The sequence below is a fragment of the Homo sapiens genome, chromosome 9 (assembly GCF_000001405.40).
Source record: "Homo sapiens chromosome 9, GRCh38.p14 Primary Assembly".
Classification (NCBI taxonomy): domain Eukaryota; kingdom Metazoa; phylum Chordata; class Mammalia; order Primates; family Hominidae; genus Homo; species Homo sapiens.
In genome coordinates this window covers 2,716,976-2,731,657 of record NC_000009.12, presented here as the reverse complement: position 1 = coordinate 2,731,657, position 14,682 = coordinate 2,716,976, and the positions used below count along the sequence as shown (strand labels likewise).

The window sequence follows — 14,682 nt, the reverse complement described above, 5'->3', positions numbered from 1 at the left end:
ACACAAGCGCCATCAGCATCACCTGGAACTTGTCAGAAATGCAAATCCTTGAGCTCCTTCCCAAGCCTACTGATTGATACCCCAGGGACAGGGCCCAGCATGCTTGGCTTTAACAAGCCGTCCAGGTGATGCTGATGATACAAGTTTAGCCCTCCATCAAGAGCCCTGGGGATCAGACAGACCTGGGCTTGAACCCCAGTCCCACTGTTTACTGGCTGTGTGAACGTAGTGGAATTACTTAACTTCTCCAAGCTTCCATTTCTTCCTAAATTAAAAAGTAATCCAATACCTTATTTAGGGATGTATTAAATATTAAAGTTATATGCTACATATACAGTCCAAATTGCCTCTCATTGTAGGCAACTATTCTTATTTTTTTCTCTCTCTGTTGCTTGAATCAGCAGTTTATTCTTATGACACAAGTATAGGTCCAGCCATGCCCCGAGACAAATTTGAGGGTCTGCATTGGCAAGCTCCAGTTACAGGGCAATCTTTGTGTGCTCAGTTCAAAGGAGTCTTTAATTCTCAACACTTCCATTTCCAATAGTCCCAAGGAAGGACAAAGAAATGAAGAGGAAAAGGTTACAGGGAGAGAAAGGACCCATTTCCTGTGGGCACTGGTTCTCTAATCCACCAACAGTGAGAGTGGAGGGCCACACTGATTTAATTACTTTTGCCCACAGCAATTGTTCAGGAGGTGGGCTATTTTTTTTTCTTCCTTTTGTGGAAAAGAGAAAAAGGAGGCCTGAGTCAGTAAGGACAGTATGGGGGCTCCTTCTAATGGGGGAGGATTAGTACATTTAGGCATGTTTCACAAGTCCAATCTGGGGGCTCCCATATTAAATCTAGACAAGAGTTTCTCCAGTTTGGCACTATTGACATTTTGGGTCAGATAATTCTTTGTTATGGGGGCTGTCCTTTGCCTTGTAGGATGTTTAGCAACATCCTCGGCCCCTAGCTCCTAGATGCCAGAAGTCTCCCTTATTGCCCCTCACGGTATTGGCAATCAAAACCATCTCTAGGCATTAGCTGGCCTCTGAGGAATGAATTTGCCTTTGAGAACCACTGGTCTAGAGATTTCACTAGATAACATCCACTTAAACAATTTTAATACCTATCATTTATTGAGCGTTTACACATATCTGTTATCCCCAGACTCATTTTACAAGGCAGGTGGTTTTATTTATTTATTTATTTATTTATTTATTTGAGGCAGGGTCTTACTCTGCCATCTAGATTGGAGTGCAGTAATGTGGTTATAGCTTACTCTAACCTCAAACTCCTGGGCTCAAGTGATCTCACCTCAGTCTTCCAAGTAGCTGGGACTACAGGTGTGGGCCAGCACACCCAGATAATTCTTAATAAGTTTTTGTAGAGGCAGGGTCTCACTATATTGCTCAGCCTGGCAGGGTAAGTATTGCCTACATTTCACAGTTGAAGAAACTGAGGCTTAAAGGGTTAGAGTCGCTTGCCTAAAAGCATACAGCTGGTAGCTCTGGGATTCTGACTAAGGTTGGTCTAACTCCAAAGCTTGTATAATTTCTGCTGTAACCCTCCCTCCCTCTGGAAAGTTAAGAATTTTAGAAAAATTTAAAGTAAAAAAAATTTTCTCAAGTCAACTCAAGTCCAAAAATATTTATTGAGCTAGATGCCACGAGAAGCTACAAGAAAAATCTAAGCTGTTGCTCCCCTCAGGTTTTCAATATCAACGTCATTGAGAAGGTCAGATGTTTCACACAACACAGAGCAACTATGAGACATTCTGAGTTTGGGCCAAAATGAGTATTTCTAGAGGCAGTACTTTGTGAACGAAATGGCCTTTGTGTATGTCTGCTTCACATTTCCTTTTGCTGCCAATCATAATGATTAAAAAAAGAGCAATGAAGCCTTGAAGTTCATGGAATCTACCAGCCACATGTCCTATAAAATACTAATTCTCTTGTCTTGGGGTGAGCTGTGGGTTGCTTCCAAGCAAACACTCAGCTATCTTCTTTCTGGCTCTCTGCATGAAGTTCACCTCTCCCCTCTCCCTGCGTATGGTGGTATACTCATAAGCCTTCAGCTTGCTGTAGTAATCAGAAAACTTGTTGTAGAGGATGGAAATGGGCATCCCGTTGAGAATGATCCCAAAAGCAATGCAGAGGAAGGCAAAAAACCTGCCCAGGTGGGTCTCTGGGTACATGTCTCCGTAGCCCACGGTGGAGATGCTCACCTGTAGAGGAAGGAAAGCAGGATGGAATTGTTAGCACTAAGATCGGGGAGGAGAAGAAAGGGAGAGGAGCAAGCAGGGAAGCGTCCTCCCTGTGGGTACACATGGGAAGTGTAATGGCTTCCCACGGAGCCTGCTTTAGGAGGTACCAGGAAGACTCCCTCTAGGACCTGTGTCATGAAAAGAACAGAAGCTATGGATGGAGCTGAAAGACTTTGGCTGAAATCCTGACTACGACTCATGCATGTTTGAATGTAAGATATGGGAGGAGGAGGTAATACCTACTTGAAATGGTTGCTGTAAAGAGCATTTAAAATAGTATGTTAAGTACCTGATGTAGAACGTGCTCAGTAAATGATCTTTGCCTCCCTAACTCAGCTGGCACCAGATTCAGGAAAGCAGGTCCCTGGGTTTGCCTGTACACTGTATGTATTGGAAAAATCTTGGGCTTAGAACAGTCAGACCTGGGTTCAAGTCCTGACTCTGAACCTTTCCAGTTGAGTGACCTGGGGCAAAACCTTCAGACTCTCTCTCTCTCTTTTTCTTTTTTTCTTTTTTTTTTTTTTTATTTAAAACAGGAGAAAACCATCTAACTCTTAGGATTCTTGTGAAGGCTAAATAAGAAAATGAATATAAAGCACTGAACACAGTACCAGGCATACAAAAGGCATGAAACTCCTCCATTGTCTTCCTCTCATCTTTAAAATGAAGACAGTTATAACACTTTTCAAAGTTGTTACGTAGTTCAAATGAGAGACTTTATGTGAAGGTGCTTTAATTGCAGATGTCTGGAGAAACACTCTCATTATTTTGTAAAGGGACTTTTGTAAGACATCACTCACCAAAAATATGTTCACCCCTGCATGAAATACTTCCCATTACTCTTGTCATACTGATTTAAATCCCACTAATTGGAGACTTATTTAGGTTAACAAGCTTCTGTTTTAAAATGCAGATACCATGGGACTAGTTATCAGTTACCAGAGAAAACCCTGTGAAAATTCCTTGGGGACTGTTTTTTATGCCTCATGTACTCCCTCTGATCCCCAGAGTATTGGCTAAATTACTAGAAGCCTTTTAAGCAGAGCTGTTGGTCACAGTTGTAAACATTTTTGCGTTGCACTACTCCAGGGGGGCACTCTTTGCTTTGTGTATTTGGGTAGTTGTTGCCATAATTTTCCAGCAGACGGCAGTAAAGCATATGGTCATCTTGTTGATCCGTGCTGAGGTGGCCGTTAGCTTAGCAGTGTAAATATTTTTGTTTTGATGATGTAAGGGTTAGTTTGAACCTGGAATAGTGCAGTTGACTGATTAGAATGAAATGGAGAAGTGAGCCAGCTGCACAAAACTGAGGGCACTGATGAGAACCACAGCTCCATCCAGCCCACGAAAAAAGGAAGGGTATGCCTCCTTTTTGAGGCTGATGATGCACCTCCTGTCACTCACTGCCCTGTCTCTTGTGAGAGGTCATGCAGCCTTTTTCTGCAGAGTCAAAATACAAGCAGGCATCCAAGAGAGGTAATGTGGTGTAGATAAGCTGAAGGAAACGGACTACAGTAGACTTGTGGGTCTGAATCCACTTCCCAGCTGAATAAGTTGGGCAGATCACCTAAATTCTCTTGGCCTCAGTTTCTACTTTTGAAATGTGTGGTATCTACCTCACAGAGTTGTTATAGGAATTGAAGGAGTGCCTGGCACAGGGTGTGTAAGCAATAATATTATTATATATATATCATGTATGCAATCCCAGGGTCCCCCATGCTGAAGCTGGCCTCCACTGAGAAGAGGCAAAGACCAACATTTATTGAGTGCATTCTACACCAGCAACTCTATATACGTTATGCTTATCAGACCCTCAGGCTGTGGAAACAAGCTCCTCCCTGACTCTGCCCTCTGGCTCCAGTAGAGAATATCCTTCTCCCAACTTCTGGACCAAGGGGTGATGTGAGGCAGTGATAAAGTGAGATTGTGGGTTAATCTCAAAGTCCTCTTGGTTGCATGAGTGGGTGTGTCTTTTTTTTATTTAAGTTCTAGGGTACATGTGCACAACGTGCAGGTTAGTTACATATGTATACATGTGCCATGTTGGTGTGCTGCACCCAGTAACTTGTCATTTAACGTTAGGTATATCTCCAAATGCTACCCCTCCCCCCTCCCCCACCCCACAACAGGCCCTGGTGTGTGATGTTCCCCTTCCTGTGTCCGGGTGTGTGTTTCTTGTCATTGACCACACCAAAAGTCAAAGAACCCCAGGCTGATCTCTCTCCAGTTGTGTGAGCTGAACAATAGCTTTCATTTGTCACTAACACCATGACTCACACCTCTGGATGAAAGTTTAGTCAACCTTCCCTGGAGGAGGCCTAAAGGGAGTTTGGATTTAGGAGTGAGTGACAGGAAGGGGTAGTTTAGAACAGCGGTCCCCAACCTCTTTGGCACCAGGGACCGGTTTTGTGGACGACCATTTTTCCCATGGACGGGGTTGGGGGAGGGGATGGTTTCGGGATGAAACTGCTCCATCTCAGGTTGTCAGGTATTAGTTAGATTCTCATAAGGAGCAAGCAACCTAGATCCCTCCCATGCGCAGTTAACAATAGGGTTCCCACTCCTATGAGAATCTAACGCTGTGGTTGATCTGACAGGAGGCAGAACTTAGGCGGTAATGATTGATGGCCCTCCACTCATCTCCTGCTGTGTGGCCGGGTTCCTAACAGGCCACAGACAAGTACCACTCCACAGCCCGGGATTGGGGACCCCTGGTTTAGAACATGAGACATCCACGGAAGTCCAATGCAGAGGCCTTGGAGGAAACAAGTCACTTAAGGGTTCAGGATGGCGGGGATGGGAGAGAGTAGGAAGACACTGAGGAAGAAAATAATTAAGATAAACTGCTTATTTTCAACTTTTGATCATTCTGCACACTGGCTTTGCTTCACCCTTAAGCCAAACTTCTTTTTTTTTTGGCTGAACTTTGAGTGAAAAGTCAAAAGCAAAGAGAATTGGCTTAAAGAAGAATAAATATCTGATGTGTATAATATGATCCAAATATTTTTGTATATCTTCAATCTCTATTTTTAGAGAACAGATCTCTTCTGCTAGGAGGCTATGTGTGACTGGTCCCCAATAATTTGTTGAAAATGTACAGTTAATTTATATGTTGTCTATTTCGTGAATAATTTGACTCAACAAGTGATCTGTTTCTTGTTCCTTGGCTCCAGGAGGAACTCAGGATTCCTTGGCTTTGGGGAACTTTTTTTCCACATTCCATAGGCCAAGCCATTTCTCCCTAGATGGGAATTAAAAGCTGAAGGCCCCAGACTGACCCAAGTGACCTCACAGAATGAGTTGTCACATTAGCAGGAGTTGGGTTTGGAAATGTGACCAAAATTTCCGCAATCCATCTTAATATACTGAAGAAAACTGGCTAGCTCAGCAACTCTGCAAACTGGAAGCTTAACCATTCTGCTGTAAACGTACATACTTTCCTTAGCCTTGGGTCCCAAAGCCAGAATGTGACCTTCCCCTGGCAGTTTACTCACTAAACAACAAATCCTGGCCTGCCATATATTATGAGGATAAGCATCAAATTTTTCTCCAAAACTTGAGAATACTTGGATTTCTCATTTAACAAGACAAGTTTGTTTCCCTCATAATGAACAAGGAATGGAATCAATCTTGGCACCCAGTAGTCCATGCATTCAGGAATTTATGATCCTAGGGAATAAAACTTATTTTTCAAAATAACACTCTTTCTGTTTTCCAAAGGAATTAGAGGTGGTGAAGATGGATCTTTTTTGGATAAAATTATTATAAGCCTCAATACGTGTTGTCCTTCAAAGGATCCAGCTTCAAAGGCTGTACTTACTCATGCTATTATTGCAACAAGTATATTTGGAATTCCTCTTTTGAATTATAGTCTGCACAGTAGATTCAGTAGCAGCAAGCGGTCATATCCACCTTGATGGTTTACTCTAAGTGTCGATCTTAAACTAAAGTGTCTTAACTATTTTAAAATACTGAATGTAGCCTTAAAAAGACAAAGATTTAACAACCTAGAAACAAGTGGATGTGTCACAAACTCTGAAGGTAATTCCTCAGTGGAATTCAAAGAATGTCTTGATTAGTGGAATCACTGTTAGAATGAGGTCATGGGTGACTACCTTCAGGATAATAACAACCCTCATCTGTATATTACAGTTCTGACATGTTTGTAAGTGGTACAATAAGCGGTAGGTGTGCACAGCTAAAGCAAAGCCACAAATGTAAGTTTGAGATCTATTAATCTATCCACAGAAAGGTGCGCAATAATGATGCTGTCCACACCCTCAGCTTCCCTGCATTTCTCCGTGCCCTCAATGATGCTGTCATGTTCCACTCACATCATATTGGCTAAAATGAGGAACATACTTTAAAGACATAAAAGGAGACCACTCCAAAATTGGGAATCCATAAGATAAAAAGTAGTAACAATGCCTAAGAGCCTTTACCCCGTCTATAGCTCCTGTGCTACTTCTGAAGGAGGTAGAACTCTATTACTTTCTGTGCCAGATATTTATATGTTGTCTCTTAGTCCCAAGCCTGACACCCTTCTGTATTTTATTTTATAATTCCAGAACTGGGAGTCTGCAAACTACATTTCCCAGATTCTCTTGCCCACTGTCTTCTAGTTATGTTCTGCCTATGAGAGACTGGAAGATGGTATGAGGACATAAGGGTCTCTAATCCTGCCTCTGGTTTCTGCCTTCATTCCTCCAATTGCAGCCAATAGCTATGGTTCAGGCATTTTTTGGCATTCCTGGCATCAGCCTCATGGTGCCAATTTAGGAGTCCTTGCAACAGCTACACAGAGGCCCCTCCTGTGGACTCTTAGCTTCTGGTGGCAACACCTTTTCCCATTTATTCTCCCAATTCTAGGGCCAATAGCTACTCCCTGCAATTACCAATCTCTGGATTATCTCAGTTTTCTCTTTCTGCTTTTCCAGTCTTCTTTTTTTTCTTCTTCTAGTCTTCTAACAACTATCTATTTCCTTGTATTAAATTCCCTGTTTGAAATATTCACCTTGGTATCTATTTTCCTGACTGCAACCTAATTTATTTTTCAAATGGGTTTCCTCAAAGCAATCAATGAACAAAAATAAAATAATTTCAGTGATCTTGTAAGTGCCACCTATTGGCAAGGTAATGAAAACATACCTTAGGGAAAGAAAGATGGGAGCAAGGTCTCTGGGACAAAATGGTGCCTCAACTAGAGATAAATTTTCTTTTTGAGAAGTTAGTTTTTGAAGGAGTGAGTTCATGCCGTAGTTTCCTGTTTGGTTTCTACAGCTTTAACTTGCCCTGGAAAACTCAGAAGGAAATGGTTCATTCAAAGTCTACTTACTCTTTTCTACTTGAAAACATACCCATGCCCTCCACCCCCCAACCCCCGGCAAAAAAAAAATAAGAAAAAAAAATGTGGTCATATGTTGAGGCTAAAAAAAAAAAAAAAGTAAAAGAAAAAAACCATACCCACACAGGAGGCCAATGATTACAGCTTCATCATAGAGCCCATTGTTCTTGTTTAGCTGTGCCGTGCATTTCCTACCCCCAGGCAATCCAGAGAGCCCCAAGATGGCTGGAGCTGCTTTAGGCGTGGGCCTGTTTATCTGGACTCTCAGAAGTTCTCCCATGAGGGAACAGCTGACCTTCTCGTATGTTTTATAGGTTCTTTCTTTTCCTCAGTAGAAAAAGAATCATTTCTGTTTTATTTTCTTCCCAAATGAATGTAGAAGCAAAGGTTATTGCTTCCATGTGACAAAGACTATCAACTAGTCAGTTATGGTAGCTTCTATTTATTGCAGACTTACTATAGGCTAGCAGTTTACATATGTTTCCTATTACATTAGTGCTCACAAATAACCTCCATTTGACAGATGAAAAAGACAGGTCTATCCTACATCCTAATACATGAGCATTTGTAGACATAAGTGTCCAGGAGGGATTTGTTTTGCAGCTGCAGGAGAATTCACAGTAATGAAAACTACTGTATTTTTCTTAAATCCTTGAGTTGAATTACAGAGAAAGTTTGCAGGATCCTTGGCATAGAGAGAAGAAAGATTATTAAAAGCAAGTCAGATTTGGTGTTGTCTGAAAGTATTAAAAATACATAAAAGAATGGATAAGAGAAACTCTCTGTAATGTGGGATGCATATTTCACAAAGGATACAGCCCCAGAATGGTGAAATAAAATGCCAATTATATTTTTCTTTATCTCATCTTTAAAGTTTCAATTTGTGAGTGTATACTTTCTGATATGTGTAATATATTTGAGCAGTAATATATTACTGCAGGAGAAAGATTGCATTATTGGAACTAATTCTTTACATCTTTCTGTGTCTAAGCTGTTTGCCATATAACTTTGCAGTGCCCTCCTATGGTGGGTGGGCTAACCTGCCCTGCCCTTTGACTTGCAGCTTGGCCATGTGACTTACTCTGGCCAATGGGCTGAGCAAATGCCATGAAAAGAAACTTATGAAGTGTTTGCATGATGGGGCTTGCATTCTCTCTCTTGTTCTTTGCCACAGCCATCGACATGTGGCTGCTGGAGTCTGCCAGAGGAATGCAGACATGTGGCCTAGTCTCTCCCTTCATGCCAGTTGACCATCAGGCATGTGAATGAGTAACAAGAGCCTCATGAAAGAGAAGAACCTTCTAGCTGAAATCAGAGTATACGCTGACTTTTAAATTCATGAGCTAAATAAACGCTTGATGTTTTAAGCCATTGAATTTCAGGGTGGTTGGTGATGTATCGTTATTATGGCAATAAAGAACTTCTAATTTATTTATAAATAAATAACTTCTAATTTATTTATAAATAAATAACTTCTAATTTATAAATAAATAACTTCTAATTTATTTATAAATAACTTCTAATTTATTTATAAATAACTTTTATTTATAAATAACTTATTTATAAATAACTTCTATTTATAAATAACTTATTTATAAATAACTTCTATTTATAAATAACTTATTTATAAATAACTTCTATTTATAAATAACTTATTTATAAATAACTTCTAATTTATTTATAAATAACTTCTAATTTATTTATAAATAACTTCTAATTTATTTATAAATAACTTCTAATTTATTTATAAATAACTTCTAATTTATAAATAACTTCTAATTTGTAAATAAATAACTTCTAATTTGTAAATAAATAACTTCTAATTTATTTATAAATAAATAACTTCTAATTTATTTATAAATAAATAACTTCTATTTTATTTATAAATAACTTCTAATTTATTTATAAATAACTTCTAATTTATTTATAAATAACTTCTAATTTATTTATAAATAACTTCTAATTTATTTATAAATAACTTCTAATTTATTTATAAATAACTTCTAATTTATTTATAAATAAATAACTTCTAATTTATTTATAAATAAATACACATTTATCATGGGTATGTGCCCCAAATTTTTAAAAATAAGATGCATGATTAATAAAATGCTTAGAAACCACTAGATCAGTTACTTTTAGGAATCCTCTTCTCAGATTGTCATATCTGTTGAGTCAGGTGCATTTAGATGAGTCTCTTTTCATCTTTCAAACTTTATCTCAATGTCATCTTCTCCAAAAGGGCTTCTCTGACTATCCCACTAAAGACAGACTCTACTGCCTGAATCACTCTCAATCTTGTTATCCCACACAAGCTATGCCAATACCTGAAATTATTTATTATCTGTCTTTCTCCATTAGAATGTAAGCTCCAGAAGAGAAAAAACTTGATTGTTTTTTCTTCTCCTACCCTGTATCCCTAGTGTTAAGAATACTACTGGGCACATTGGAGGTGCTCAAAAACTTACTGTTCAATGAATGAATAAGGTGAATTTTTGTGGGTTATATGACAAATTGGTCCTAATGTTTTGTTTCTTTTCACTTTGCATCTACATACCGGAAACAAGACATTTTGTCCACATCAATTCAATGTGTTCTTTTCTCTTTGCTCTATTGAGAATATGAACCTTTAGTCTGTATTATGGAGTGTAGTTAGAAGTACAGAGAAGAACTGGATTAATAACATAGCAGTCCTGGGGAACAGAGCGGTCTTAGAATATTCAAGGGCAATTGCTCCCATTGTTTTCATAGATTAGTTTAGAAATAAATACAGATGATCAGTCTTTTATCTAATTTGTAACGAATTTTACTGGTATAAATAATTTTCAGAATAAAATGGACAAAGACCATTGATAAAGGGTAAGGTTTGTAAATGGGATGGTTGGAATGTGCAAAATTGGGCCTATGAAAATAGTGGCTGATAGAGATAATGGCTTCAAAAGGAAATTCATACAGATAAGAGCAATAATTGGTAACATTTATGATTGGCAAAAACTGGTGATTCAATTTTTGTAAAATTTATGAAAAACATTGATTTTGAGTTACATAGTGCCAGTTAACATAAAAAGAGATAATTTGAAAGGTTTAGACTTCATTGTACATTGAACAGATCAGAAATTTAAGTGAGATCAATGGGTATTCAGTTCAAAAAAATTTACTGGTAAAAATACAACCTGAGTAACATTATTCTTTATGTGTTTTATTTTAATTAAAATTTTTTCTCTAGCCATATCCGTTTGAAAGTAACATAACTTTTATCAAAGTATTTGTTAATATACAAAAGGTCGAAAAAACTTTTGTGGGTTCAAACTGTAGTATCAGAGAGTGTACTAGCTCCAGTGCCTTCATGCACTAGCCTTTAAAGATGTTTAGATGAATAGAAATTTGACTCTCAAGTGTTGTATCATATCATCAGCATGTGGATTTACTCTTCTGCTTTCCTGCTTTAGTCACCCCAAAGTAAATGTCATTTGCTGGGGACAAATCATCAACCATGAGCCTCATCTGTACACATGGTTTATCTACTATAGGGATGACCTTTCATCACTTGGAATATGATCAGAGAAGCAGAATTTGCCTAGCTCATTCAGAAGAACATCGTATCATCCTGCCACTGAAGAAAGCTCACATATCCTCTATACATATGAGCTCCCTGCTTTCAAGGGAAGGAAGACTCACTGAACTGCAGACTTTTACATGTCCAGCCTCCCCTTTTAGAGGTGAGAAAGCAGGACTGGAAGTGAGGGATTAAGGTTTCACAGTTAATTATTCAGGGTCATGGTTAATTATTGACAGGTCTGGGACTAGAATCAGGTTTTCTAAATCTTCTATTATGCTGCATTGCACTGTCAGTGGCCTTGGGTTGGTTTGTCTCAGAAGTGCACACCAGACTATGGGTTATGACATACACAATGTTGAAAATATCTACTTTCTGACATGGGAAAACTAGTTATATTTGCTTAATGTCTTTAAAGGTATTACAATCTACTTTTCAAAAGAAAACTAAGGAAACCATACATTCAATTCTTTCCTTCATATATGCCGACTTATTCATCGATCTGAGAAGACCTGATTAACATTTATTTCCAGGGATTCAGCTACCACAGCTCAAAATACAGATATTTGAGTAAACAGCACAAGTTATAAAAAGGCAAAGGCCAAAGAAAACAATGACAAAAAATAACTGTTACACTAACTGTACAAATTCAGCAATGCATGCAAAAGAACTAAAACTTGAAAGAGACTGTGCTTGGGTGTGGGAAAGGCATGGAGTTTGGAGATGGACAGGACTGAGTTTCAGTTCTGGCTTTGCCACCTCTAGCTGTGAGTCCACATTCAAACTCTCTGTACTTCAATTTCACTATCTGTAAAATGGGGCAATAATACAGGGTCCTGAAAGAACTTTAGTGAAGTCAGAGCAAGTTTCAGTTTGAGATGCTTCTTTCCACACTCAGATTTAAGTGGAACCAGAGGTGGTGGGATTTCAGTTAGAGTCAACATGGTTCAGCCAAGTCTCACCTCCTTCTCTGTATAAATCTACAGTTTCTTTCAAAAACTGAAGCCATTTCTGCTTGTCCCCTTAAAAAAAAATGGTGGTCATAACCATCTCAAAGGCTGTGATGCCACAATGAGATAAGCTTTGTCAGGACACTGGATGCTCAATAACTGGTAAATAACAGTAATGATGACGCATCTTCTTTAAAACCTGTCTTTTAAAGGTTTGAAGACGAAATCTAGATTTGGAGATTTCTACGACTAAGTCAAATTCACTTACTTACTGATCTGCTGAGTTCTCTTTCCACCACTTTTGACATCCATCGCCGTTTTGTTAGCTGTATGCGGCGATTGGGGGTGGGGGGGAAGACGAGGATCAGAAGCCAAAGCCTGGTGGCTGATAACCAGGGGAGGGAGGAGCAGCTCACTGGGCTGGGGAAGAGGATGGGAAAGCCCAGGGCAAAGGTACTCACCGCGGCCCACCACCAGGAGTGGGGGATGGTAGTGAAGTTGGTGCTGGGCACATCGTGCTCCACAGAGTAGACAGCCGCAGAGAAAGTGAAGATGCCCATGGCGATGAAGAGCAGCAGGCAGCCCACCTGCTGGTAGCACTGGCGCAGCGTGAAGCCGAAGGCACGCAGTCCGGTGGAGTGGCGCGCCAGCTTGAGGATGCGGAAGATGCGCATGAGGCGCATGACGCGCAACACCTGACCCACCTTACCCACGCTGCCCACCGTCTGGCCGCGTTGGTGGCCCTCGCCCGTGAAGCACTCGAGCAGCAGCTGAAGGTAGAGCGGCAGGATGGCCACCAGGTCCACCAGGTTGAGGGCGCTGCGCGCGAAGCGCCTCAGGTCGGGCGTGGAGGCTAGGCGCAGCAGGTACTCGAGCGTGAAGAAGCCCATGCACAGCATCTCCACGTGCTCCAGGATGGGCCGCAGGTCTGGGCCGCCCTCGCCCTGCCCCGAGTGCTGCTGCATCTCCTCCACGGTGTTGAGCGCCAGCGCCACCACGGAGACGAGCACGAAGGTGCTGGAGGCCACCCCGATGGCCTTGGCGGCCACCGAGGAGAATGGCTTCTCCATGAGGTTCCAGAGGCGGCGCCGCTGCGGGCCGTAGAAGCGCATGTCGCGGAAGAGTTCCTCCGCCTCCTCGACCTGCGCCTGCGCGCGCAGCTCGTGCTGGATCTTGAGCCGTTCGCTCAGCTCGTCGCGCCGCTCCTCGAAGCAGATGCGGCAGCAGCGTGGCGTGTACTTGAGCCGCACGCCCCAGTAGCCCAGCTCCTCCAGGAAGCGGCGCGGACACAGCCCGTCGAGCACCAGCAGCACCCCGGACAGGTAGAAATTGTAGACCAGCTGGAAGACGGCCGGGTCGCGGTCGAAGAAGTATTCGTCTGTCTGCTCCTCGTAGTCGTCGCACAGGCTTAGCTGGCGGCTGCGGCTGGTGGAGGTGGCCAGGCGACCTAGGCGCGTCTTGGGGAAGCCGGCCAGCTCGCAGTAGTCCAGCTGGTAGCTGTGGCCACCCACGTTCACATTCAGCGTGGACAGCAGGGCCGGAGGGTCGCTGGGGCCCTCGGGCTTGGCGGTGGTGACCTCCCCTGCCTGCTGGTCCTCTTCTGCCAGGTCGTCCTTCCACTGGTCCTCCTCCTCGCCGTCTTCGTCTTCCTCGATGTAGTAGTTATAGTTGCCCTCTGTCCAGCCGTGGATGCTGGCCTGGGAGCCGGAACGGGCACCCAGGGAGCAAATGCTCCTGCGGTGTTGGCTGCCCTCATTCTCCGTCGTGTTCCAGGGCCTGTAGCTCCAGGACCGTCTCCTCTCACTCTGTTTGAGCATGGCTGCGGAAAGTGGACGCCTAGCTTTTTCCTCCTGGCTGTGGTAGGGGTCCCTCACCTGCTCACTGCCTCTAGGAGGATGGATCACGTGGCCTGCACTGTCTTAGAGAGGCCAGCCCGGACCAGCACAGCTAGGGGCTCAGACATTGCCACCGGAGCTGCCCCTTCTCAGGTCCTGGGCAGGCCAGCCCAGCCTGCAGGGTCTGAACGCAGTCAGCTGTTGACTGCTCTAATCTTGCTGATTTGGAAGAAGCAAGTGTTAGGAGGGATTTAGAACCTCTTAGCCCATTTCCTCCCCCACTCCCTTGACCCTGTGAGGTAGAGGATGATTATGTGGTCTTAAATCTCTAGGTAATCAGAAGAAGGCAGAGATTATTGCTAATAAAAATGTCGGTCAACCTCGCTCTTAGGAAGCGCTCAGTGTATGTGTGCTGAGATGAAATCAACTGAATTAGCTATAGAATACGGATGCCTGTGTCTTCAGCTTCATGGTTGAGATGGTAGCCTCTGCCCTAGGTAAACTCACCATTAGCAGGGATGACACATAGCAACGGAACAAAGCTGACTTCATGACAAGTCAGTTTCCCTCTCAGCGTAACTCTTCGTTTAGAGCATATAAGATCTAAAGCCATCTCCTTCTTGTCCATTCACATGATCACATTTTTTTTTTTTTTTCAAATGGATTCTCCCTGGGGCACTGTTCAGGTCCAGTCGGATCTTTGAGTCAGCTTCAGCTTCTCTCTCTCCTTTTTATCTCCTCCCTTT

At 42.0% G+C, this 14,682-nt stretch overlaps 1 protein-coding gene across 1 annotated transcript, besides 1 other annotated feature; it reads right to left on the bottom strand.

The window, feature by feature from the left end:
* On the bottom strand, positions 1,621-14,148 carry KCNV2 (potassium voltage-gated channel modifier subfamily V member 2). Its single transcript, NM_133497.4, has 2 exons — positions 12,563-14,148; positions 1,621-2,212 (listed from the first exon to the last, which is right to left on the bottom strand). The coding sequence occupies exons 1-2, from the start codon at positions 13,916-13,918 to the stop codon at positions 1,931-1,933; spliced, it is 1,638 nt and encodes a 545-aa protein (NP_598004.1). The 5' UTR covers positions 13,919-14,148; the 3' UTR covers positions 1,621-1,930.
* Positions 3,995-4,289: a silencer, noted in NCBI's record as "tiled region #5035; HepG2 Repressive non-DNase unmatched - State 23:Low, and K562 Repressive DNase matched - State 8:EnhW". NCBI's record gives its function as "represses a minimal TATA promoter and a strong SV40 promoter by Sharpr-MPRA in HepG2 and K562 cells {active_cell/tissue: HepG2 | K562}" and the evidence as "EXISTENCE:reporter gene assay evidence [ECO:0000049][PMID:27701403]".

What these genes read in the sequence shown, in the direction of transcription:
- KCNV2 (NM_133497.4), bottom strand. Translation starts at nt 13,918, where the DNA reads ATGCTCAAACAGAGTGAGAGGAGACGGTCCTGGAGCTACAGGCCCTGG. An exon ending in ACTCCTGGTGGTGGGCCGCG is followed by an intron (nt 2,213 to 12,562) that starts GTGAGTACCTTT and finishes CTTCCTCTACAG; the next exon opens with GTGAGCATCTCCACCGTGGG.